The sequence below is a fragment of the Homo sapiens genome, chromosome 16, assembly GCF_000001405.40.
Source record: "Homo sapiens chromosome 16, GRCh38.p14 Primary Assembly".
In the NCBI taxonomy this organism is placed as follows: Eukaryota; Metazoa; Chordata; class Mammalia; order Primates; family Hominidae; genus Homo; species Homo sapiens.
The window spans coordinates 59,943,750-59,971,722 of NC_000016.10; the positions used below are offsets into that span (position 1 = coordinate 59,943,750).

At 36.9% G+C, this 27,973-nt stretch overlaps 2 long non-coding RNA genes across 5 annotated transcripts in view; one reads left to right on the forward strand and one right to left on the reverse strand.

Annotated features, from left to right (window-relative positions):
- LINC02141 (long intergenic non-protein coding RNA 2141) overlaps positions 1–27,973 on the forward strand; it is a 198,621-nt gene that overhangs the window by 88,397 nt on the left and 82,251 nt on the right. The gene's annotated exons all lie outside the window — the stretch shown is intronic.
- On the reverse strand, positions 421–27,918 carry LOC105371299 (uncharacterized). 4 transcript variants are annotated; one of them, XR_933646.1, is made up of 6 exons: positions 27,841–27,918; positions 26,471–26,535; positions 24,295–24,499; positions 8,921–8,993; positions 5,718–5,880; positions 421–801 (listed from the first exon to the last, which is right to left on the reverse strand). It is a non-coding gene; the product is annotated as an uncharacterized LOC105371299 (long non-coding RNA). The 4 variants fall into 4 exon arrangements; XR_933644.1 differs by having other exon boundaries at positions 5,687–5,880; XR_933645.1 differs by lacking the exon at positions 421–801 and adding an exon at positions 4,537–4,582.

Here is a 27,973-nt window from a genome sequence, read left to right on the forward strand (position 1 = left end):
CAAGATGAGATTTATAACAGATGATCAAGTAGAAAACCATCAGCCAGATCTTAACATGGCATTGCAAGCAGAACAACTTTCATTCTGAGTAAAATGGTGAGATGTTGGAGGATTCTAACTGGGACAGCTACATGATTGGATGGCTTTGTTTGTTTGTTTGTTTGTTTGTTTGTTTTGAGACAGAGTCTTTGCCTGTCACCCAGGCTGGAGTGTTGTGGTATGATCTCAGCTCACTGCAACCTCTGCCTCCTGGGTTCAAGCGATTCTCCTGTCTCAGCCTCCTGAGTAGCTGGGACTACAGACGTGAGCCACCATGTCCAGCTAATTTTTGTATTTTCAGTAGAGACGGGGTTTCACCTTATTGGTCAGGCTGGTCTTGAACTCCTGACCTCATGATCCGCCCTCCTTGGCCTCCCAAAGTGCTGGGATTACAGGCGTGAGTCACTGTGCCCTGCTGATCCAATGATATTTTTAATGCAACACTTTGGTTGCTGTTTTGAGAATGGAATGTTTGGGAAGAAGCAGAAACTGACAGAGCAGTTAGAAGCTGTTGCTATAATTGAGGTGAGAGATGATGGTGGCTCTGGCAATGGAGGTTGTGGTTGAAATCGTGAGGATTAGAATCCAGACACATTTTAAAGATGTAGACACCAATATTTGCTGATGAATTCCATTGTGAAGTCTAATTCAGACCCTATAAGAAGATATCTTTATTCAGGGGCAGAAAGCTCAGGCAGTGACTATGTGTGTCTCATTAAGTCTTCAGAAGAAGTTTTTCTGCAGTCTGGAAAGCCTGTTTTTCTATAATTACGAATGAAAAAAAAATCAGTGTCATTTGACACACAAAAAAATTAAGATAGTTATAAAAATAAATACAAAGGAAAAGCAACCATACAATTATATTCTAACAAGGCAATGTTCTTGTATGCGGGCTTTGCACCGTAAACCTACTCTCTGTTAGATTCAGCAAGTCCTAGAAGTTTAGGTCAAACTTCTGAAATTTTTGATGTATTCAAAAGGGGTGAAAGGTTTATTGAAAGGAAGATGACTTTCTCAATATAGTATTTAATTTTATATTTTGCTGTGCTATTATCTGAAATCATTTTATGTACCACATGCCGAATGAGTTTGCACATTTATTTAAATAGTGGTTCACAGCACCAGTGTGTAAGCATATGTAGCCACAAATCAATTCACGCGTCCCACATTATGATCCTGCATAGAATTTGTGAATGATTCACATTAGGATTTCCTTCAATGCCTCTTCTGGCCTTCTTATCAGTCTAGTTGACCTTTGTTTCATCATTCATCATACTATATTTGTGATCCCCTCGTGGCTCTGTAAACACTTCTATTTATCCCTATGTTCTAACCATTCACAGTGAGACATTACTTATTTAAAAAGTTATTGTCACTCAGCAGAAATCTTGATTATTTAGGATAAATCATTGTAATGTTATAAGGTTTACAGAGTTTTAGTAACTAGTAGTCAAATGTAGAGTTATATTTTGTTAGGACAAAAAGCATATTTTCCTAATGTATTTTTTACAAACTGAACTTCAAGAATGGGATCAATTATGATTTTCATTTGAATTTACGTATTTCCAGTTCCAAAGACAAAAAATGTATGGATTTAGTGACAATTGACTGACAAGGTTTTCAGAGTTTTTTTAAATCAAAAATTACTGGACACATTTGACAAAAAGTTTATGAAACAAAGTATGGATGTATGTGGGAAACCTATTGACACTAACCTAACACTTAGTAAATTTTACATTAGGTAATTCAATTTTTATCATGTAACCATATCTTTGTGATCAAGAAAATTGTGGGTATTACTACTGACATCACTTCTTGCTATCTAAAATCACTCTCATGTTCATTATTTGATGTAATCCATGATACTTAAATGTGTTTCTATGCTGACATTTTAACCCAGAAATTAAGACACATGACTGAACAGATTAAAAAATAATGACTGTAAGTATCTCCCAGAAAATAACAGAATTCTTCAAATGTTTGTATTTTTCCTCCAAACTACAAAATCCTTGGGGAGAAATCATGTGCATTTCTCACTATTGTAGGCTTAGTGCTTAGCACAGTGCCTGGCACCTAGTAAAGCCCAAATTAAAATATATTCTCTGCAGTGAAGAATGGTTTATTGATTGAGTGACTGAATAAATGAATAACAGTTGGTATATTTTACATAAAATAATTTAAAGGAATACCTGTTTTCCTCTGAACACATCCACACATTTGTATTTCTTTGGGGGGAAAAAAACACACATTCCTGTTCATGGTGAACTGCATTTGCAAAAAAGACTGAAGTTTATTTTAATTAACCAGAAAATAATAGACAAAAAATGATTTCTCTGGCCATGTGAAACTCCTTGCCTCTGTCACTTCTTCAGAGGTAAATGTATTTGTTCCAGTGACCTATTTCTGTATATGAAACCATAACAAAACAATAACCATTTTATTGCATGCTGTGATTTTGTTGGTTAGAAATTCAGTCAGGGCTTGGTTGAGTGATTCTTCTGTCTACATGGTGCTGTCAGATGTTGGTCAATGGTTTTAAGATGGCAAATGACCAAAGGGCCCGGGACAGCTTCATTCAAATGTTCAGGGCTCGTCAGAGTTGGTGCATCTCTCCAATCAGGATTATCTTGGAGTCAGTGGACTTGCCATGTGGTGACTCAGGGATTCAGGGATGAGTTTTCCAGCAAACAAGGAAGAAGCTACATGGTCTTTAATGAAGCAACCTCAGAAGTCACATTGTATCATTTCTGCCATATTTTAATGTTTAAAGCAGTCATCAGCCTGTCCAAATCCCAAGGGATGGGGCTTACCACATTTCTCATGTGGAAGAGTGTCAAAGAATTTGCAGTCATGTTGTGAAACTAGTAGTTTATCTCTGATAATATATAGACTTTCTGCAATGTGCTTAGCACATGATGTAATTCTGTCAAAATGTGATATGGTTGTAAAAGTAAAATAACATATTATTTTTTGATTCAAAGTAGTCAACTTTTGGGTGAAACTATCAATGCTCTTTTATGTTAAAGGTATGGAATCTGGAGCTGCATGGTTCTGAGTTGTTCCTAAAGTGCTTGAATTCTAGATGGAAAGATAAAGCCAACCTATATAAAAGGAAGTCATGAGAAGCTATATTGTGTGTTGAGCTGCTGTGATTGGAGTTGTGAACCAATCCCTTATATCCTTAAACACCTCAGACGTTGTTGCGGGAATTAGTTAAGAAAGCTTCTCTGCTCATATTTTTTTAAGGTTGGAAGCTTTACCTATTTATGGATTTGGGTGGCTCTGCCTAGAAACATTTACATGGTTTCCGTATTTCGGCCTTAAGGCATGAGAATAACATACTTTGAATCAGTATCCCTACCAACACTACAGAGAAAACTACTAATATAATAACTTTATAAACCAAAACATTGTGAAGGAGAAATGAGGGGAAAAAAAGGGCTAAATTTGAAATGTTGGACAACATCAGTGGATCTAGACAAGAACACTTTTTTAAAAAAGAGATAGTCTCACTCTGTTGCCTAGGTTGACATGCAGTAGTGTGATCATAGCTCACTGCAGCCTTGAAAACTTCTGGGCTCAAGCCATCCTCCCACCTCAGCCACCTAACTACTTGGGGCTGACTGAGAACACTTTTTAATATTTGTAGTCTTACGGTAATAACTTGGCTTAAAAGGGAAGAATGAAATTATTAATTCTCTCATATGTATATTTATGGAGAGTTTAGTTTAATTCAGTGTGGCCACTGGAATCAGGGATGCACACAGCCTAATGTTCAAATACGGGGTCCAGTTATTTTCACAGCATCCTCGGGCAAGTTACATGACCCATCTGACTTTCATTGATCTCACCAGTAGAATGGAGATGATAATAGTATAAAAATGATTGCATTGTTGGTTAATGAAACAGTATGCACTGAGAAAGAGAAAAGCAGTCTCTAACATAAGAAGCTATACTGCTACTATCACCTACAAGTTGTCTCAGCACTCACTGCTAGGAGTTGCTCTTCTAGTGTTGAAAATAAATGATTTCATAGAATATCAACATCAGACAAGAACACTGTGGTCATGATGGATCAAGATGAAAACAAGACCCTCCATAATCAAGTCTAAAAACTGACAAAATATGAATATTATCCAAGCCACAAAATACCAAACAACTCCATCTCCCAGCTAGTGTGACTGACTGCTGCTGTTTTTTTTTTTTTTCTTCTTCCCAATTACAGCTTTAGCCTCCCTCTATTTGACCTTCCCTACACACAGGAGTTGATGAAATGCTCAAGCATAGAACCATCCCCACTCTCTGACATTCCTAACAAAGAGCAAGGCCCTTCTTTTTTGGATCTGCTACAACCCAACCAAAGCACAAATCCTATCATAAATCCCTCTTAACAGGTTATTACTGAGATATTTCATGGCTCCTCGTGGTGTGAGAAACCACACACCATGTCTTTTGCTGTGAGTAATAAATACAACTTGTTGAACCATAGATATTTACTTGGTGGTTTTAGCTGGAGGTCCTTGACAGTATGACTGTTATAAAGCTGTTAATAAAGTAAGTATAAATAAATGTTAGCTGCTATTATTGTTACCATTAGCATTAGTATAATTAATATTATATTTTCCTTATTTTTTCTTCTTTTCTGTCTATAAGAATATATTAGTCACAGATTATATACCAGAACCAGCACTGGCAGGCAATAAATTTTTAGGATGTGTTGTTTGAACACACACAAGACAGAACTTATTAGGACAGAAAATGTGAGGAATGGGGTGGAGGGGAGATTATCGGGTGTGGAATAAGCACAAAATGTGTAGTGGGGAAAGCGGAAGTCTGTCCTAGATATTTTTTTGCAGGAAAATGTTCAGCTGAAAGATTTCATCTAATATATTAAGAACACTAATTGTCAATGAATTACAAATAACTACATAGACAAAATGGTAGTCTCTGATGCTTTTTCCAGAAACAAAGTTAGTTCAAATTAAAAATGTATGGTAATTTATGTTTGGGGAATTTGAAGGCAGTTCAAAGTCAATGGCAATTTATCCTACTACATGATCAGTATCATTGATTATGTAATCAGCATATTAGCAAATGCATTCAAAATTTTCCAATATTCATGCAGTTTTAGAGCTTAACTAAAAGGCTTATTTAAATTACGTTGAGAAGAATGTTATATTCTTAATTGGGACATTGCAATGAATATTCTAGTTTGCATAGTTGGATAATTTTCAAATAGTGTGCCTAGGTTAAGAAATCTAAAACCTGTACAACACCAAGCCAGTACACCTTTAATAAAGAGTAAATTATTTTTAAATGCTTGCTTTTTTAAAAAAGAGGTATATTTTATTTTGTATTTTTTGTATTTTTAGTAGAGACGGGGTTTCACCATCTTGGCCAGGCTGGTCTTGAACTCCTGACCATGTGATCCACCTGCCTCGGCCTCCAAAAGTGCTGGAATTACAGGCATGAGCCATCGTGCCTGGCCGAAATGAAGTATATTTTAATAATAGTATAAGAGTATCACAAGGATGCAGTTTAAGTATGTATAATTTTAAAAGCTCCCCATTTGAGTCATACCTTGATCACCTTGAAATACTCTAACATTGAAACTGTGGAAAAAACACTGGATTGGACTCAAACCTACCTGGATTGTTTAATCCTGGTCTTTTACTTACATTTGTGGTAACTTCAGCAATTTTGTTAAGCACAGCATCTTAGATTCCTTAACTGAAACATCATGATTTTAATTTTTCACTAAGGTATGTGATGATCATGAAAATTGAGTAAAAGAATGCCATATCTTCAGGACTTGGTGTTAATAAATGAGTAGTTATATTCCTGTAAAAAAAAAAAAAAAAGCATGTGAAATTCCAAAATTAAGCATCAGCTGCTTTGACAATGTAAATCCACATCCTCACCTCATTTCAGCATCAGTAATAATCTTGAACTAAGTGACTAACACTTAACAGGGTTCTAAGTAAGAGTCGGTCTTGGAAGCCCAGAGATGCAGAATCAGAACATCTCATTACAAAGCTGTGAAGTACTTTCAATAAGACAGTAAATTCCTTGGTGAAAGGGAGTGAATCTCTGCATTATCAGTATTTAGTTTAATGCAATGCTTATTGTAGACAATCAATTCATGATTTTTTGAAACACAATCACCAACTTTAGGGCCCTTATGAATCGTCTACTCTAACCACATTGTGTCAGAGTAATTCTCTTGATCTGTTCCATTGGAAGAGTCTCTTCTTTTCTTGACTTCACTTTCCTATTGTTCATCTTTCTCCAAAATCCTGAGGAAAGTTTCTAATTTATCGATGGGTAGCATAAAAGGGTTATAGGATATAGCATTACCTACTGTCTTGGGTTCATGGATCAATAATTTGCATGGAGCCCAATAAAATACACCACCAATCCATAAATTTCAATCCATCCAAAAGATGCTGGGCAGCCTTTTCCAAAGGGGGTAGTTGGTGGTGAGTTGCTTGAGGACCTGTTTTCTCAGTAGCTACTTCCTTGTTTAAAAAATGATCTTTCAAAAAAGACCTTTGAAACTTCTTTATCAAGGACCCTGAGCAAAATGGCAAAATTGCTCCCTTGTCCCATGCAACAAACACAAGTTCTCTAACACCATTCAACTCTGCAAGCCAATGTTGAACATGAATTTATTTTTGTTTCCTCCCCCAGACTAATTTTATTCTTGTGAAACATCTGCTTAGTTTTTAATCTCCTGGACTAACAGTCATTACTCATTTGTTTATGGACCAAATGATTCACATCAGTGTAAATAACTCCTGTAATATTGTTCTCTCAATTGAGTGACTCTTCAACAAAACCATAATGAGTAGGATGTGTAACTTCTGCTAATCTTGTTTATTATTTGTGGGCCATGCCAATGGTTTCAGTTTATTAAGATTTCTGGCAGGAAAGCAGAACTCACAGCCTTCCAATTTCAGATGAGCTAACATTCTTAAGAATCTTGGTAGACATTTTTAAATATAATCCTCGAAGCTACATAATTTTCGCATTCCACTAGCAGCTCCTAAGGTCTTTATATTTCTAATCTGCTTTTGGAAACTATAGGTAAACCATGACATTTGGCTACTATCCTGTTGGAACCAAAGGTTGTGCACTCTGGCCAACCCTCTTGGATTTAAGGAAGAGTCCCCAAGGAAAAGAAGTAGGTTTTATATTTCAAGGTATGCATATCCACAAAATGCAGTACCAATTTTTTTATCCAAAGCTATTCTCTCACACCCTTTCATTCTTTCATATTTTTTTTCTTTTGAGGACAAAAATTGATTTGAATTTTAATTTTTTAAAAATAGATTGATCATAGTGACAATGGAGAAAAAATAAAACAATCATGCGTATTCTGATATTTCTAATAGGGAAAACTTGGAAAATGAGTCCACTGATGAATAATCCAATGGATACAGAATTCTTAATCGTTAATAACCCATTAAAAGGGTAATGTCACAATCAAAATGTTTCTATACAGATTTATAAAACTCACAGGACAATGTTGATATTTAAATATTCTTATTAAATGTAGTATTTAATAAGAATATAATATAAATTATAAATTCTTATTAACATTCTTAAGTATTCTTGTATTCTCTTAGATTTTTAGCAAAAGAAAAATTGTTGCTAAGAAGGCATTTTATTCATAATTCTATTAGACAATGATGTTTGCTTTTCCACTGGCCAGACAGAAAATCCATCAAACAACAATAAAAAAAGCAGGGAGCATTAACAATGCACTTAAGAATAAAGGAATTACCAATATGTTTAAGATGTGTCCCTGCCCTCAAACAGTGCACATTTTATAACACCAGCTGGTTTCTAAACATAGGCAGGGAGCCATGGCTCACACTTCTAACCCCAACATTTTGGGAAGCTGAGGTGGGAGAATCACTTGAGCCCAGGAGTTTGAGACCAGCCTGGACAACATAAGGAGACCCCATGACTACAAAATTTTTTTAAACATAAAAAATAAAAATTAGCTAAGGGGGTGGTGCACACCTGTGGTCCCAGCTACTCGAGAGGCAGAGGTGGGAGGATCACTTGAGCCTAGGAGTTCGAGGCTGCAGTGAGCCTGGGTTAGAGGGTGAGACCCTGTGTCAATAAATGAATAAGTAAATATAGATAAATATTAATTATGCATTCTGAGAAGCATTTAATACCAATGGTTTGTCAAAGTAAAGCAGAGTCCCAAGAAGTAGATGCCATTTGGCTTCATAAAGCGTATTTTTTTCCAATAAATGAATAAAGTTATTCAAATATTTACTGAATGCCTATTTTGTGACAGGCACTATTTGGACTAGAGATAACTCATGAGTAAAATCAGACACAGTCACCGTTCTCAGGGAGTTTACACAGAGCTTGAAGAATGGGAACAGGACTCAGGGATTTGGAGAGGACATCCGAGAGGGAAAATAATGTACATTCTTGTTATGGCATTACTATAAATAACAGGCAACAAACAGGTCTTGAGCTCATTAAAGAAAGGAACTGGGGGCTGGGCGTGGTGGCTCACGCCTGTAATCCCAGCACTTTGGGAGGCCGAAGCAGGCAGATCACGAGGTCAGGAGATCGAGACCATCCTGGCTAACAAGGTGAAACCCTGTCGCTACTAAAAAAGCAAAAAAAAAAAAAAAAAAATTAGCCGGGCGTGGTGGCAGGTGCCTGTAGTTCCAGCTACTCAGGAGGCTGAGGCAGGACAATGGCGTGAACCCGGGAGGCGGAGCTTGCAGTGAGCGGATATCGTGCCACTGCACTCCAGCCTGGGCAACAGAGCGAGACACCGTCTCAAAAAAAATAAATAAATAAAAGAAAGGAACTGGGTTTTAGCGTTTACTGAACCCCTAATACCTACCTTGGCACAGAAGGCATTCATTATGTAGTCATTAAGTGAATACATGGCTGAATGAGAGAAATACACACTGCTCCTAAAATACAAATAGGTAATTAACTAAGGACATCTCAATACAAAGCATCATTTGATAAATACTTTTTTAAAAAGGTCCCATATATTATAAAGAAGTAGATTGAAAGCATCTACTCATTCCATGTGTGCCTGAAAGTTCAGAAATTCTTTTGAGCAACGACTAGAAAGGCCAAATGGAAACACTGTTGAAACCTGCATGAGTCTAGGCAGGTATAGGAAAAATAAAGCCTGAGAGGATTATTTCCAAGGACAATAGGATTAAGGCTCCTGTTTTCATGATTTTAATCCATCATAGCAGAGAAGAAGGCAGCTCTTCAGAGCTTTAACAAATGTTAAACTCTCTTTGCTTTGTGTATAAAGCACTCCACACCTCTGCTCCCTTTAGAAGAGAAGCTGATGAGGTTCTAGCCTGAAAAGTTCAGAAACCCATAGAGTAATATTAGTGGTTTCTAAGTCTTTGGTACAAGAACAAAAACAAAATGGAGGAGACGCTGGGCCCTGAAGGAGTTTGGCGAGTTAATGAGTGATGGCCTCTTTCCATTTTCTGATATTCAATTGAGCCACAGCAGATGGGCAGAGGCTCCATGGGAAAAATGAATTATGCACATCAGACCGTTGTTGCGTTTCTCACAATCATATTTTCATCACTTCACCTGTTGTATGTCTTGGGCTGATTAGTTATGCACCTCATCTCATATTGGCATTCCTGGTTCAGAGATAATCTTTAATTGGTTTTTCCCTTCCATATGTGAGTCTGTTAAAGATTTTTGTCTCTCCTTTCCCTCGTGAAACAAAGTTTGCACACTGACTTATTTTGGAGAGGATGATGGTGATGGCTATAATATTAATATTTATTGTGAGACTTGGATGGAATGATTTGTGAGCAAAGCATATTCTAAGTAGTAGGCAAGAGGAAAGTTTATTGGTGCTAGTATCCATCCTGTGCTTAGGGAATGGATATTTTATAAGACACTTTTTGAACCAAAACAACAAAGTTGGCAAAAGTTACTGTATCAGGGTAGATCAGACATCAGATTAATTAAAGTCTTGCTAAAAGGCACATTCACCTGCTTTCTATTTGACATCTCCACAATTAAATTCATCATTTTACTTCCTAAAACTCTTCTTGCAACTTTAAGATCAGATAAGGATTTAATCATCAAGGAAAGCAGGACCTTGTTGTGGAAAGAGCTTAATTTGGGGTTTAAATCTGGTTTTGGATGCTTATTTACTGTGTAGATGTAGGCAAGCCACTTCATACGTCAATTTCTGAATACTGCTTCCACCTTCAAAGGGTTGATGAGAAGATAAAGCAAAACAATGTGGGTGATGTCCCTTACAATGCTTGGGGAGAAAATAAAAGAGCTGGATCTGTTTAATAAAAGATTGCTGAATCTGAAAGAATGTAGTAGAAAGTGAATTGTACTAAAAGTTAATCCTTATCTGAGATTTTTCTGTAATATTGGGAAAGCAAATATATCTATGGAATACTTTTTGTCTGAACAAAACCAGTACATATTTACAGTGATTTTGCAGAAGCAAGGGTAGGAGTTTCACAACCCTACCCATTTGGAACTCTCCCCTTCCCCACCACACATTGGAGTCTGGCCGTTTGGCTCAGCAATCTCTAAGGTCCTTTTCATCTCTGGGATTCTCTGAGAAAAATAATGCATTAATATAAAAAATTATGCATCTTAAATGTAGATCCTTATTTTTGTCAGGATCTATTCAGGGAAACAGAAACCATAAAAAGCATGTAGGATGGGTGCAGTGGCTCACGCCTGTAATCCCAGCAGTTTGGGAGGCCGAGGCGGGTGGAGCACCTGAGGTCAGGAGGTCAGGAGTTCAAGACCAGCCTGGCCAACATGATGAAACCCCGTCTCTACAAAAATACAAAAATTAGCTAGGCATGATGGCAGGTGCCAGCTACTCAGGAGGCTGAGGCGGGAGAATCCCTTGAACCCAGAGGCAGAGGTTGCAGTGAGCTGAGATCGTGCCATTGCACTCTAGCCTGGGTAACAGAGCAAGACTCTGTCTCAAAAAAAGAAAAAAAAAAAGTATGTAAGTCAAGGGGATACAACAATGGGAAAATTTATTACATGGGTGATAGAATTGCTAAGAAGCCACGAGAAGATTGGTGCAACTCAGAGACTGACAAAAGCCTTTACCACCCTAGGCAGGAGGTACCAAGGGAGGGGCAGAATTACCAGATTCCAAGGGCTAGAACCATAGTTTGAAGGCAGCTAGAACCACGAATGTAATTTTGATGCTCTCCAGATCCAGGCTGAGGCAGAGAAAGAAGATGAATACATTTGGATTTCCTATTTCTCCTGTCTTCCAGTTTCTCACCAACCTCTTCTGTTGGCTTAACCTACCCAGAAGTTAGCTAATCTGAGAACCTTCAGAGAACAGCTTTCCTGTCACCCAGAGCAGAATGGACAAAGGGTAAGGAATTAGATCTGAGAGCAAACAGGTCAGGGACTGGTCCATGTCAACTGACTCACTGATAGTAGAAAAGGATTATTCATAGCAGCCTTCAGTTACATGAATGGGTAACCCCATGACTTATCTAGAACTTATTTGTATTTATTTTTATTCTTTAATATTCTACATTGCAAAGCAACACATTTTTAAAAAATTATTTTGAGCAAGGTTAATGAGAAGGCAAAAAATATCTTGGGATCTCAGATCTATGAATTTTGAGATTATTTTTATTCATATCCCTCTCTTTCCACTCATTGCTTGGAGATGTACAATATTATCTGAAGTGTTCTGATAAGTCCTGCAATAAAAAAGTCCACCTGAATTTAACCCAGTGTTTTCCAATAACATTCAATAATATATTATTATATTTTAAGGAGCACCATTTAACTTAACCTGGATCTACTCACCTTGTAAATGTAAGTATAAACCACAGACATAGTACAAACAATATTTGGAAATACTTCACGTGACATTCTTGCTTGAAGTGTTCACATAATAGAAACTCATTTGTACATAAGATATGCTGTTCTAGTTTTGAACACATTTGAAAATTTGGGGAGGTAATTTTATTTTATCTTCTAATGACTGGTTTTGTCTTTTAGAAGAAAGTTAAAGAACTAGTAAATAGATAGTGACGATTTTCAAATATCTCATAAATTATATCTAGCGTGTGCCCACCTCACTTGTCTCATTCAAATCCCAACAGTATTATTTTCTCCTCCAAATCCTCAAATGCTTGGTTTTTCTGAATCGTTCTGGTCATTCTCCTGGAAATGTTATTGTTTTCAATATCTCTACTACCATATGGTTGTCAGATGGTGCATATCATAGCTGGTGGATTCTTACCAACAAAGAGCAAAATTGAGCTATCATTCCTCTTATTTGAAAAATATTAATTCCCCTGGGTAAGTTGGTGTGAGAAATACGTCATGTAGTTGCATATCAATTTTGTCACCCAAACTATTAGAAGGAAATCTGGTCTAGAAAAATGTGGAAAACCCCATGTCTACTATCGCATGTAAGTGGTCAAAGACTGATAAAATCTAGGAATCCTGATTCTGAGATTGTTTATGTAACTATTTTTCCAGGAAACGTTTGCCTGCCAAGAATGGGCAGTAGAACACAGATTCAGTAGACACTTCCTGTCCCCTTGCAAGAAATTCTGATATTTCCTCTTATTTGAAGGCAACTGCCATAGTAAACTCATTAGAAGGTGTCGTCCCTCTTGATTCTGTTGAGAAAGCTCAAATGTTGACATTCAACACTTATCTATACACTCTCCTTCTAGTTTTGTTTTGTTTTGTTTTTTGTTTTTGAGACGGAGTCTTGCTCTGTCACCCAGGCTGGAGTGCAGGAGTGCGATCTTGGCTCACTGAAACCTCCGCCTCCCGGGTTCAAGAGATTCTCCTGCCTCAGCCTCCTGAGTAGCTGGGAATTATAGGCGCCTGCCACCATGTCACGCCTGGCTAATTTTTTGTATTTTTAGTAGAAATGGGGTTTCACCTTGTTGGCCAGGCTAGTCTCGAACTTCTGACTTCAGGTGATCCACCCACCTTGGCTCCTTCTTCCATCACCTACATCACCTGTGAGCACATAATCCCTAGGTTCCGTTTCATGCCATCTTGAACTGCATGGTCATTTCAGTTGTTGTCCATGGATGACCGTCTGCCTTAGACTAAGCAAAATTAAGAATATCTTCCTAGTCTGGAACTAGGAAACTAAAACTACCCTGAGAGGCTTAAGAGAAAACCAGAAATTGTAAATGCTTAAAGGAACAAACTAGGAATATTCCATAACTTAGTGACTATTATGAAGAAAATGTTGATTTTAGTGCTTGATACATGATGGCTACAAACAAAAGCTTATGTGTCATTCTTGTTTAAAATATACTTATATTGTTTGTTCGTTAGCACATTCTGAAAGGTAATTAGAGGGTAGTGGACCATTACTCTATAAATATGAGTTACATGGATAAATTAGCAAATTATTCATTTAAGTATATATATGTGTTTGTGAGAGAGTGTACACATATGCATACACATATAAAAAATAAAAATGCATAACTCATAGAATTGCTTGAAAAAATAAACAAATCAGTCCATATAGTCATGTAATGCATATAAAAGACTTAGCTGACAACTTTGTGCTGTTATCTTTATCTATCAAATACAACCCAAGGCATGGGAGACTTTGTTTCACTTGTGACAATTAACTGCAAAGTATTTTTATTATTATTATTATACTTTAAGTTCTAGGGTACACGTGCACAACGTGCAGGTTAGTTACATAGGTATACATGTGCCATGTTGGTTTGCTGCACCCATCAACTCATAATTTACATTAGGTATTTCTACTAATGCTATCCCTTCCCCAGCCCCTCACCCCCCGACAGGCCCCAGTGTGTGTTGTTCCCCACCCTGTGTCCATGTGTTCTTATTGTTCAACTCGTGCCTATGAGTGAGAACATGCGGTGTTTGGTTTTCTGTCCTTGTGATAATTTGCTTAGAATGATGGTTTCCAGCTTCATCCATGTCCCTGCAAAGGACATGGACTCATCCTTTTATATGGCTGCATAGTATTCCATGGTATATATGTGCCACATTTTCTTAATCTGGTCTATCATTGATGGACATTTGGGTTGGTTCCAAGTCTTTGCTGTTATGAATAGTGCTGCAATAAACATATGTGTGCATGTGTCTTTATAGTAGCATGATTTATAATCCTTTGGGTATATACCCAGTAATGGGATTGCTGGGTCAAATGGTATTTCTAGTTTTAGATCCTTGAGGAATCACCACACTGTCTTTCATAATGTTTGAACTAATTTACATTCCCACCAACAGTGTAAAAGCATTCCTATTTCTCCACATCCTCTCCAGCATCAGTTGTTTGCTGACGTTTTAATGATTGCCATTCTAACTGGCATGAGATGGTATCTCATTGTGGTTTTGATTTGCATTTCTCTGATGACCAGTGATGATGAGCATTTTTTCATATGTCTGTTGGCTGCGTAAATGTCTGCTTTTGAGAAGTCTCTGTTCATATCCTTTGCCCACTTTTTGATGGGTTTGTTTTTTTCTTGTAAATTTAAGTTCTTTGTAGATTCTGGATATTAGCCCTTTGTCAGATGGGTAGATTGCAAAAATTTTCTCCCATTCTGTAGGTTGCCTGTTCACTCTGATGATAGTTTCTTTTGCTGTTCAGAAGCTCTTCAGTTTAATTAGATCCCGTTTGTCAATTTTGGCTTTTGTTGCCATTGCTTTTGGTGTTTTAGTCATGAAGTCCTTGCCCATGCCTATGTCATGAATGGTATTGCGTAGGTTTTCTTCTAGGGTTTTTATGGTGTTAGGTCTTACATTTAAGTCTTTAATCCATCCTGCATTAATTTAATGCAAAGTTTTTTTTAAAGGTGAGGAAACTGAGGCTAAGAGAGGTTAACTAATGTGTTCATATTTTTGTAGCTGAGTAACTTTGGATAGAGTAGGCTAAGAAGTGGAGCTAGAATCAAATGGTACCTGATTGCAGTGCCAATGAAAGTATGCAATAGGATAGCCAGCTGATGCGTCTTGGTATTTGCTAATGATGCTGATTTAGTACAGATGCCAGTGAAGGTGGAAATACAGGCTGCAAAGACTCACTAGGGCTTATGCATGTTTGGTTCTTAATACTACTTTGGACAAAATACTCCCTGCTTAGAACATAATTGTATTAACCTAGTAGTGGGTTCTAAAAGGCCCTTTTCTAATGAGTAGGTAGCACGTGGCTTGCCAAGTGTTTAGAGAATACAAATCAAGTAGTTCCGAACCATATATCATAGGAATCTTACATTATTGTTACTTTATAGAAGATATGTAGGGAACCAACTTGTCCCACTTTGTTCAAAACTTTCCTGGTTTTAGCACTAAGTTTTGCATCTGAAAATACCCTAGGTCCCAGACAAAACAGATAGACAATTGGTCAATCTAATCCAGAAAGGGATATTTGGGTCATAATTGCATAATCTCATTAGAAGAAGAATAAAGTCTCCTCATTAATATTTCAATACTCACCCGTCCTCATTCTTAATTAAATTTATGGGTTTGGAGTCTTGATAGCTTTATAATTGCAAGCCATTCTCTGCCATTCTTTGCCAAATAAAGGCTGAATCTGTTATTTCCTTCAGGACTTAGTTGTTATTGTTCTTCTTTATTGCCTTAGTGTACTTGGAATACTGATTTGATATTAAAGGTTACTGTAGTTCTGTTTATCTTCACAAGGGCAAAATCTTTCGCAAAACCTCTTTGGAAGCCGTGCCAGGCATGAGAAGTTTTTTAAATTTAATGATTTGTTATTCAGAACCCAGTAATGTTAATGTTGTGATGATACAGTCTTGCAAATGGTTGAACACTGAAAAGTGAATGTTACTCTTGACTTTTTAATCAACTTGCATCTCCATCTTCCTTTGAATAACGAGATTAGTCATGTCTGTCCTGCTTCTTATAGAGGAAAAAGCTGCCGGTTATACACACTGTTATTATTCTGTATTTTCTTAAATAATAGTTTTCACAGGTATAATTAACTAATTGTATGTTTATTTAGTACCATTCCATGAAGTAGAAAGAGGCCTGTCTTGTTGACCAGTGTATTTTCAGTACTTACATAAAAACTGAATGTATTTTGTATGCAGTACATATCGGTTGAATGCAAGTATTGATGAAGGACAGATGGATGGATGGATGGATGGATGGATGGATGGATGGATGGAAGGATGGATGGTTAGATGGATGGATGGATGGATGGATAGATGGGTGGATGGATGAGATGAACGGTGAATGGATGAATAAAGGATGGATGGATGAGATGAACGGTGAATGGATGAATAAAGGATGGATGGATGAAATTTTTAGCCACAGCTAGCCCAATGTGGTTATAGGCTACATTATACTTCTGTCATGACATGACGTTTTATATAGACCTTCACTTTTCTAAACTATGCATTTAAAAGAACCTAGTGAATATCTTCATTCTTTTCCTCTGGCTGAGAACAGTCATGTATAAGTGTTGCCCTGCTCATGTATGACAGGACAGGAAAAAAGTCAGAGAACATATAGTAGGTCTGCCCACTAGTCAGATAAATTATTTTTACTATGTGCTCACTAAATCTGTCCCCCTTTCAAATAGAAAAGCTTGGAGTTTGAAGGAATCTTATAAATCAGACAATTCAAATCACCTTTTTAAAGATGAGGAAAAGGACCACAGATGTGTTAGTTTACTTGTTAAAGGTTACACAGCACATTATTAACAGAGCCAATAATAATAGCCAGATCTGCCATGGGCAGCTCCGCGTTACCTTATGCTGTCTGCTTAAATATAGTATTCTTTAATGCTGCTTCTTTGAGCCAGATTCGCTGAATCAGTCTCTGGTCTGCCAGACCCAGGATAACAAAATTAACTAGCCTTTAGTTTTTGCCACTGCTTCTTATTTAACTAGATTTCTAATCTTCAGCCTCTTCTCGTCAAAATAATCTGATTCTCCATGCATTGGGGGAAATATCAGGGAAATTTCTTGCAAACATATGACACAAGAAAAATAAGAGCACATCCAAGAAAACTTCCACGGCTAGTGACAATCTAGCAATTCATCCCATAAGGATCAAACACAAAAGGATTTCATATTCACTTTCAAAGTTAGTTATGCAATTCATTTATACTTCACACACTTAGAATTCTGGATTTATATGGAAGGCCTCTTTTTTTTCCTGTATTCTCTATAAATTGTGAATGCTGTTCCTGAGTTGAAGGTTAGCCCCAGTAATAGAAATGCAGTCAGGTGGAAATTGTCTACAGCAGAACTATTACTGGATCCATGATGCGATATCTCTACATACAATATGCTTTGGGCATAAATGAGAAGAGGAAAGAATGGCACTGAAATAGGATTTCCCCTCTAACTAAGGCCATTCTAACTAAGGAAGAAATTACCGTATTGGAAAGATGCCACTGCCTTCTATTCAATATTCATTTAAAAGGAACATTTCTGATAGCTTCATTTATGCACATTTTCAACAAACAACAACCCAAAGAATCAGAACTTGCCATATTCAATTTTATGCAGCTCACTAAATGACCAATAAGAGAGACAGAGGGCACTTGTACTTTTTCATGCTTAGATTACTGCAAAATGGAACAATTAACAAATGTATGCTGCTAGATTCAGACTCTTTTCTTCCAATATTTTGCACAGATGCCAAATGCAAAATGCACTTTCAAAATGCATTATATTAAGAAATAATTGGTCTTTATTCTAGAAGTTAATTTAACTGATAATTCTAAACAGGTGGCTTATGGCTCTATAAGAACTCCTATTAGTTACTTTGCTTGAGATTATTTTCTAATTTTCTTCTGGAAAAGTTGGGCAAACTGAATGCTTGAAGTTCACTCCTCATGTCTGGTACAGTATGAGAAAATATTCTTGTTGGCTACTTGACAGGGTAAATAAAATAAGGAACTACTGGGAAAAGAGAATATATTGCTCCCTGAAGGTGCAAGTGTTTCTTCAAGCTGAAAATTACACATTTATGAGAAAAGCCAAGTGCTTCCCAATGGAGAATTGGGTATCTCAAATCAGTTGAAGTTAAATGAAATACATATATTGAATAGATAACTAAATTCCACAATTGGAACTTAAGGAAATGCATTCTCCTCTGTCAAAACGTTTCACATAGGTTCAAATAACTGGGATTGTGCATCACGTCATGGAATGAATTCAACATAAAAATAAATTGGTTGAAAAATCAAGGAAAATATTTTAAATTAAATTGTTTGCTTTCTCCCTTTCCCAATTCTGTCTCTTTTCCTTTCCAGAGGCTTCTAAGAGACTTTAAGTGTGCACCAAGGGATTTTCTAGCTGTTTTCACCCACGGTTGATATATCTCAAATGTCCCTATACTAATCTTCCCTTTTGCTGATAGCAAATAATGTAGATGTACTCCTTTTTTATTATTGCTGCAAAAATGATTTATCTTCAACATTTAATACATTAAAACATTCATAAAAATACAAATAGTTCTACGGTAAATGTGTGGGTTTGTCATGAGCACTGATTGAATGCACTAACTATTCGCCAAGACTGTGAAAAGATTGTCCCATTCTGATGCTAGCGATGACACTGTGATTTTGGACATTCTATGTTTCAACTTGACTGTCTCTTAAATCATGTAACTCTCTTCCTGTACAATCTCAACTATTCTAGACCTTTGTATATTATTTTTCTGCTGATAGTTCTAAAACTGACATCCAGATCATTTACTTTTCTTCTGAGAAGTGCCCTTTAGACAATTTTATGTGAAATTTTCCTGGTGCTTCATATCTGTTATGTACAAAACTGAGCTCAGGCCCTTTATCTGCTGTGGCTGTGGTTTGTGGCAGGCTCCTACTAGGCCCTATAAGGGAGCTGCATCAGTTGGAAGGGAGGGACATCGGTTCCTCTATATGAAGAGGTGGCTGTTGACAAAGCCATGGGCCTGTGGGACTGCATCAATCCAGAGGGGCTGTCTTTTCCTAATCTGTACAAAGGAGCTCCAAAATCTAATAGGGTCCTTGATTGAACACTCTATATTCTTTCTCACTTGCTTCATTTCCTAAATTTCCTGTTTCTAGTAAAGATAATTTAAATTTGGTAATTGAAGACACTTCCTTACCTCTACCACTCACTTCTCTCCCTATCCAGTTAGTTTCTAGATTCCACTGAAGGGTATCCTACAGATGTTTTTTGCTGTTCATTATAGGGGTGTTTGTTCTGTTAAAGAAATGGGGAGCAGTAGTCTTAGATTTAAGGTTGCACATCATTAGACTTGGAATAAGCCATTTTTCAACAGGAGCCCAACAATTGCTTTTTTAAAAAGAACAAGAAAAAGCTCTCCTCCCCTTGTACGAGGCTGATACTTCTTCAAACTAACTCCCATTGTGTCAGAGAGCTCTTTCTAAAATATAAAACTTTTCATGTCATATCTCTACATATAGTTTGTAATAAGTTAAAAATAATAGCCTCCAGAAGATGTCCATGTCCTAATTCCTGAAACTTATTAATACATTACCTTATATGGTTAAAAGGACTTTGCTATTGTACTTAAGTTGAAGATCTTGATTTGGGAAGATTATCCTAAATTATTCAGGTGGGTCCAACGTGATCACGAGGTCTTTATAACAGTGAAACAGGAGGAAGAGAATCACTAGCAGGAGATGGGATGATGGAAGCAAGAGGTAGGGGTGATGAGCGGAAGGGGCAGTGAGCTTAAAAATGCAGGTGGCTTACGGAAACGATAAAAGGCAAGAATATAGATTCTCCTCTCAGAGTCTCCAGAAGGAACCAGCTAAGATAACACTTTGACTTTATACCAGTGAAACTATTTTGGACTTTGAAAATTCAGAAGCACAAGATAATAAATTTGTGTTGTATTAAGCCACTAAATCTGTGATAGATTTTCACAGCAGCAATAGGAAACTAATGCATCAATTTTGATCAATGGCTCTTTATAATTTTCAGAATAAATTTCAAACTTCTTAATTTAGCACAGAAGTCCTTCCATGATATATCACTGCACAGCTCTCTGATCTTACTTTCAGCTACTATCCAGTTCTAAATTACTTTTACAGTTGCTGAAATTTCAAGCTGATAGACCATTTCCAACTACTTCCTTTTGTGGGCATTAGAAATATTTATTCCATCTCTCTTTCTCTCTCTCTCTCTCTCTCTCTCTCTCTCTCTTTCTGCTAAAGCCTACTTATCCCTTCCTTCAGGACTCCTTTTTTGATACTCAAATCCAGTGTGGAAAATTCACAAATGAAAGAAAAACTGATGAATAAGAAATTCATTAAGAACACTTTTTTAAACCCAACTCTTTGCCACAGTGGGTTTTTTGTTTGTTTTGGGTTTTGTTGTTGTTGTTGTTGTTTTTAAGATGGAGTCTCGCTCTGTCACCCAGGCTGGAAGGCTGGAGTGCAGTGGCGCGATCTCAGCTCACTGCAACCTCCGCCTCCCAGGTTCAAGTGACTCTCCTGCCTCAGCCTCCCAAGTAGTTGGGATTACAGGCATGTGCCACCACGCCCAGCTAACTTTTGTATTTTTAGTAGAGATGGGGTTTCACCATGTTGGCCAGGCTAGTCATGAACTCCTGACCTCAGGTGACTCACCTTCCTTGGCCTCCCAAAGTGCTAGGATTACAGGAGTGAGCCACTTGTGCCGGCCTGCCACAGTCTTAAGGTACAGCTATTGTCACCGTCTCAATGTATGGCATGATAATTTAGATCTCAGTCTCCATAAATCATTTTCAAACTTAAATCTCTTTCATGAGATACTTTTCTACTTTGAAGGATTATATCAGTGGATTCATAAGGAAGCAATTTACAAATTATCATTAGAGAAAAGTATTTGTTAGTTGTCTGGGCAGATGAGTTTTACTTCTATGGCCAGAATTAAATTTCTAGCTTATGGTGACCACTAAAATATGGTACCAGACTGATGACTCATGCAACTTTTTGCTCTTACTATAATTACACTATCCAGGACAAAGTCCCCACTGAGAGAAATGCCTGTACTCTGTGTACAATACATACAGCATGTAGTGTCATTTTTGAGGGTATGTCATGGGATTCCACGTCAGGAACACATTTAAATGACACTAAATTACACACACGCTTACACACAAATCCAACAAGCAAAAATTTAGTGTACAATTAACGATATAGCTCAGTAGTAAGTCTGGTTATCATTAAAAAAATCCTTGAATATTTAATAGAACCTAATTAAAATTAATAGAGAAAACACTATGAAAACATTAAATAAGAACATTTTTCTTTTTTTTTATGAGAGGAAAATACCCATTCTTAAAATAGGCTTTTAATGCTCACATTTAATCTCTGTACTAGCTTCTTTTGTCAAACAACATAATGAACTCTCAGTCAATAAACAATCACATGATATTTTAAAGAACTTTGTTGTGCTAAGTACTATGCAAGGTGTTTTCATCTTCATTGTCTCGTATCCCCTACTGTCTTCCAACACTCACACAAATGTTAGATGTGTCACTTTATACATTACTGTCCAAAAAAGTAAAGGTCAAAATGGCCAATGAAGCAGCAAGTAGAAGAGTCTGTTAGATTTAAACCCCTTTTTCCTAGTTCCAGGTTTAGAATTTCTCCTCTTACTACACATTGCCTCCCTTAAGAATATCTCTACGATAATTAACTTATTAGTTTAGTCATGTTTGAAATGCTTGTTCTCCGGTGCCATAAAGAAATAGCACTTGAACATAAATTTATTTAGTAAGGCCATTTTTACTTCCTGCAGAACGGGTACACTCGCCAGCAGTTTTGCCACGAGAGTACACCGAACAAAGGAGACAGGGTCATTTATAACCTGATGCATCCACCCTACTGCTGTTTCCGGTTTCTACTGGCTGGAACGGAACCTCACATTCTGTGTTTATCCCAATTGGCGAGCAACTTAGAACTTTTTAAAAGAGGCAAAGGTAGACAAGAACAAAGGAAGGAGGAAGTAACTTGCGGAATGCTGAGAAGAGTAAAAACACTTTTAAATAAGGAAAAGGAACAGGCTATGACCCAATGCTTGCTTGGACCAGTATAAGCATGCCAGGGCAAATATTTAAGCTCAATTGTGGATAAGCTAAGAACTTAAAGTACATTGATTTCTCTGTTATGGCTAGCAGATATTTAAGAATGTTAGCACAGGTCTTCGAATACCTTTTGCTTTTAAGAGAAGTTATTACTTATTCCTAATTAGACAGGGAGGAAAGTCTTTGAAGAAGAACCTCTATTTTACTTTTTACAGTCAGATTCTCCACTGTTCCTTTTGAAAAAGTAGCTGACGGATGTGTGTAGCCCGAACATCCCCAAAAACTTTACCCTCACTTCTTTCACACCTTTATTTTGATTTTTATACCAGTCATGTCTTGTCCACATTCCAGAGATGTGCCTAATTATAGCACCCATCTAAAGTAATAATCCAATGAGCAAAAAATTATAGATAATCAATAAATAAATGTTGGTGAGTGCCATTTGGAATTGTTTGCACTTGAGTGTATAATATTGGAAAAGACTTATGACAAAAGTTGTTTATAGTCCCAAATTCCAATGCCAGACACATGACAGACTTTCCCAAACTGTGAGAGTCAACATGGGTGATAGAATATGCTTCATCTTCAGAGACACACACAATACATTACTTTGAATTTTTCTCTATTTTTAAATAGTTGTGTGATTTTGGACTGATCACATAGCCTGAGTTTAATTTTTCTCTGTTTTAAAATAAGAGTAGCAATACCTCCCCTGCTAAATACGCAAGAGCTACCATCTCTGTCCTTCAGAGCCAGATAATTATCCTTCACAAAGATGATTATTTTGCAAGGTGATACATAATTTGGCATTTTCATAGACGTTTTTGTCATGGGAAACTTGTTTTGATAATTCTCTGTCTTCAGAGTAAACAGGCTTTCATTTGATATCAATGGTGTTTGATGGAAAAGGAGAAGGTGAGTGTATCGGGAGTTAGAAAAGAGAAATGGATATATACAAGATGTGTAAGTTCCTTAAAAGTAAGAGATTCAAGCAAAATAAATTCTGAAAGAATACACAGGAGACTATATAGTTTAGAGGAGCTGGTCATTATCTTTGCAATCACTGTTTCCAAACTACATCTCCACAACTCACTAGCTGTTCAAATTCTGATTCGTTCTTTAATCCCCATTTTTTCCTCGTTATGTGGAAACATTAATACATATTTCATCGGTTTAAATGAGATAAGGTATGATTTCTGTCATGCACAAACTATCAGGAAATAATGATAGTACTAATAATTATCATGCATAAATTCTCACCTGCTAATGAAGAACCTTGGGAATTTATATAAAAAGATATTTACTTTTGCCTAAGTCGCTTTTTTGTTTGAGTTTTTCTTATGGTTACAGAGTGCTATTTGTTTTTACTCATTGTTTCACACATCTTCCTTCTGAGTTTAGTTTCCTTCGTACTGAAATACGTCCTTTAGAAGTTCATTCAGAGATGCTTTGTTAGTAATAAATTTTTCAATCTTTTAGGACCAAAGTTGTCTTGATTTTGCTCTTAATCTTGAATGATGATTTGGCAGGCTTTAGAATTCTAGGTTGGCAGTTTCCCTTATTGCCTGGAAAATATTAATCCATTACATTCTAGTCTTTTATTGGTGTTAAAGGAATGTACATTAATTATTAAAATTGTTTATTTGTGTGTAATCTATTCTTCCTCTTTTGCTTCATTCTTGATTTCATTTTCCTCTTTTGTTCTGCAGTTCGCAACAGTATGTCCCAGTAGGGATAACTTTTATTCTCTTTATTGAGCCTTTATTTGATTCTTTAAGGATTCATATTTTGTTCATTCTGCAAAATTCTCAGACTCTTTTTTTAGATATCTATTGCTTCCTAGCTTCTTCCTCAAAATTTAATGGCTTTAAGCCACAAACATTAATTATACCTCATGATTTTAAGCTTCATAATTCATGCAAAGCTCAGCTGGATATTTCTGCTCCCTGTCGCATTGAGAGTTTACTCAGTGGTATTCAGCTGGTGATGGGTCTCATCTGCAGGGTCCAAACAGGCTGGGGCTTTGGCAGAGGTGATTGGAAAGCTAGGCTTAGCTCCATATAATCTGAAGATTCCAACCTAAAGGTTCCTACTTGAGATATTGTTTCTACAGCAAGGCACTAGAATTTCTTACATGGCCGCCCAGAACTCTGAGCCAGTAAGAGGAAGTAGCAAGTCATCTTAAAGTCTAAGTCCAAAACTTACTGTATTCTGTTGGTCAAAACAGTCATAGGTTTATCCAGATTCAGTAGGAGGGAAAAGGATGTTTTAGGCCATTTTTGCGTGGCTATAAACGAATACCTGAGACTGGGTAGTTAAAAAAGAAAGAGGTTGAATTAGCTGACAGTTCTGCAGGCTGTACAAGCGTGGCACTGGCATTTGCTCGGCTTCTGAGGAGGCTTCAGGGAACCTGGTGGAAGGTAAAGTGGAAGCAGACATGTCACATGGTGAAAGCAGAGGCAAGAGAGCAAGTACAAAGATGCCATACACATTAAACAGCCAGATGTCACAAGAAGTCACTCATTATCACAAGGACAGCACCAAGGGGATGGCGCTAAACCATTCATCAGAAATCTGCCCCCATGACCTAATCACCCCCCACCAGGCCCCATCTCCAACATTGGGGATTACATTTCCACATGAGATTTAGAGGAGACAACATTCAAGCTATATCAAGTGGGCTCCCACCCTATGATCAAATAATTTATAGCCATCTCTAACTCCCCACAATTACTTCTACTACGGCTTATTCCCCCTTCTTTCTCTTACCTCCTTCTGGAATTCTAATTATATGTGTACATGTTGAAATTTGCCATCTGATCCTCAATGTCTTTTAACCTGTTTCAGATATTACCCATCTCTCTCTGCTGAATTCTTAAGTCTTCCTAATAATCTTATAAACCAGTAATTATTTCTTTAATGTCAAATATGTTGATAAACTTATGTAATCAGGTTTTCATGTGGTATGTACTACAGAGATATATTCCTTTCCAGAGGCCTATTTTGCTCTTTTTCATATTTTGCTGGTTTCTTTTATGATGTCTTGTTTCTTTGTTTCTTCATTTCTTTCTTACTCAAGGCATGTTTTTTTGTTTGTTTGTTTTTGTCCTTTTTTTTTTAGTTTGAGTCTCACTCTGTCACCCAGCCTGGAGTGCAGTGGCACAAACCTCAGTTTACTGCAACCTCTGTCTCCCAGGTCAAGTGATTCTCTTGCCTCAGCCTCCTGAGCAGCTGAGATTACAGGTGTGTGCCACAATGCCCAGCCTATTTTTTAATTTTTTTAATTTTCAATTTTTAAAAAAATAGTATCAACTTTTATTTTAAGTTCAGAGGTACATGTGCAGGATGTGCAGGTTTGTTACACTGGTAAACATGTTCCATGGTGGCTTGCTGCACAGATCATCCTATCACCTAGGTATTAAGCCAGCATCCTTCAGGAATTCTTCCCAATGCTCTCCCCATCTCCCGCCCCAACCCCAACAGGCCCCAGTGTGTGTTGTTCCCCACTATGTGTCCATGTGTTCTCATCGTTCAGCTCCCACTTATAAGTGAGAATATGTGCTGTTTGGTTTTCAGTTCCTGCATTAGTTTGCTGAAAATAATGGCCTCCAGCTCTATTTATGTCCCTGCAAAGGACATGATCTCATTCCTTTTTATGGCTGCATAGTATTCCATGGTGCATATGTTCCACGTTTTCTTTATCCAATCTAATGTTAGTGGGTATTTGGGTTGACTCCATGTCTTTGCTATTATGAATGATGCTGCAGTAAACATATGCATGCATGTATCTTTATAATAGAATGATTTATATTCCTTTGGGTATATACCCAAATGGTCAAATGGTATTTCTGGTTCTAGATCCTTGAGGAATTGCCACACTGTTTTCCATAATGGTTGAACTAATTTACATTCTCACCAACAGTATGGAAGAGTTCCTTTTTCTCCACAACCTCGCCAGCATCTGTTGTTTCTTGGCTTTTTAATAATCACCATTCTTACTGGTGTGAGATGCTATCTCATTGTGGTTTTGATTTGCATTTCTCTAATGATTACTGATGTTGACCTTTTTTTCATATGTTTGTTGGTTGCATGGATGTCTTCTTTTGAGAGGTGTCTGATTTGACCTGAAATCCCAAGCCAGTGGAATAGCAACACCAACTACATCCAGCTTCTGTGTCTGTCTCCCCACTGGACACACAGACATGCACACACACACACACACACACACACACACGCAGCTTGAAATAAACACATATTCCAGCTCTTGTTTTTAGTTACCTCTTTGTTTCTATCAACTTGGGGGCTCTCTTTTTTCTCATAAGCTTAGCTATTTATTATAAATGCTTTTCAAATAGTTTATCCAGTATTTTAACATACTTACAGTGATAGTGTTAAATATTTCTTAGTCTGCCATCTTGCTACAGTGAGAAATTCTGTCTTTACTCCCTAATTAAAGAAAAAAGAAAGAAAAAAGAAGAAAAGAAATATCCTGAATCATATACATTTTTATATTACAGCAGAATGCAAAAAAATGTGAAGATCTGTGAACACAGAAATAACTAAGTTATGGATTGGTATGGGCAACTTAAAAGAAAATCCCTATTTAAAATACAACTATTGTGAAGAAGTTTATCTAATTAAATAACGATCAGTATGAAGCAAGTTCTTCCTAAGAGCTACTTCACTTGATAATGTATGAATGACTATTTTTATAGAAAAATGTTGTGCCAAGTTAGTTGCTCTCTGCGTTAATATTACAGTCAGAATAATAGAGAACAATAAAATTAGTTCCCACTGCCTAAGTTTTATACTTTAATATGACAAAGTAATGTTTTTTATTTATCTTTTTTCCCCCATGCATAGTCTTCTGTTGACAACCCCAATGTTTCTTGTGTACATCTGCAACCAAATAAATAACGAGCTAACAATTTGGCACAATATACACCATTTTATGGATAATCATGCTCATTTACAAAGGTAAGCATGTTTCTTCATCCAATAGTTTTCTCAAAGTTCCTCCAAAATAAAAATTATGTTAACACAGAGTAGCTTAACTGCCCTAGAAATGTTGACATTGTACTGATGCTATCTGAAGGACTCGGTATGTTTCTGGCTTTAAGAAAACTGCTGGTAGGAATATTATGACAATAGATATGCTAATATTCTTTGCTTTATAAATTATAAGTACCCTTAAAGGACAGTGCCAATACTAGTTCATTTTTGGGCGTGAAAGAAAAACAAACAAACAAATAAAATTTTTCTAGTCCAGCCTCAGGCGTTTTAGAAGAAGGTGTTGTGCCCATGGTCATCAGCACCAGAAATTAGCAAATGATCTTGCTGAAAGTTTTGCAATCCTAGCTCTGAAATTCACCAAAAACATTTGCTTTTGTTTGTTTTGCTTAATTTTTGCCTTCTTAGCTGGTTACAGGAATTTCTTGTCTTTGTTTCAACATTTCGGTCCCTGCATGTCCTCCTTGTCTTTTCCTAGAGGAGGCATAGTTTAAAAAGCAAGGTTAAATGAGATCTTTCCTTTATATTTTTTATCATTCTCTTCCTCTATACAACATATCATTTGTGTAAGGCACCCACCCAGTCCCTTCCATAGGAATGACTAATATCCTTTTTCCATGGCTCTGTTTACTGTTTCCTGCCAGTTACTCAAGTTCTTAGCAATATGCCACTTCTTCAAAGAACCTTTCCCTGAAACGGGAGGTCACAACCAAATGCTCTTTCCACCTGTTCTCTTGGTACCTGTTCTTCATCCCATAATGACGTGCATAGTTCATTATTCTTCATTAAGCAGTAAAGAAGGTTATTTATTTAAAGTAGGATATTCTGTGCTACCAAAGACTGTATAGAATGTACAATTCAATCACATTCCTAG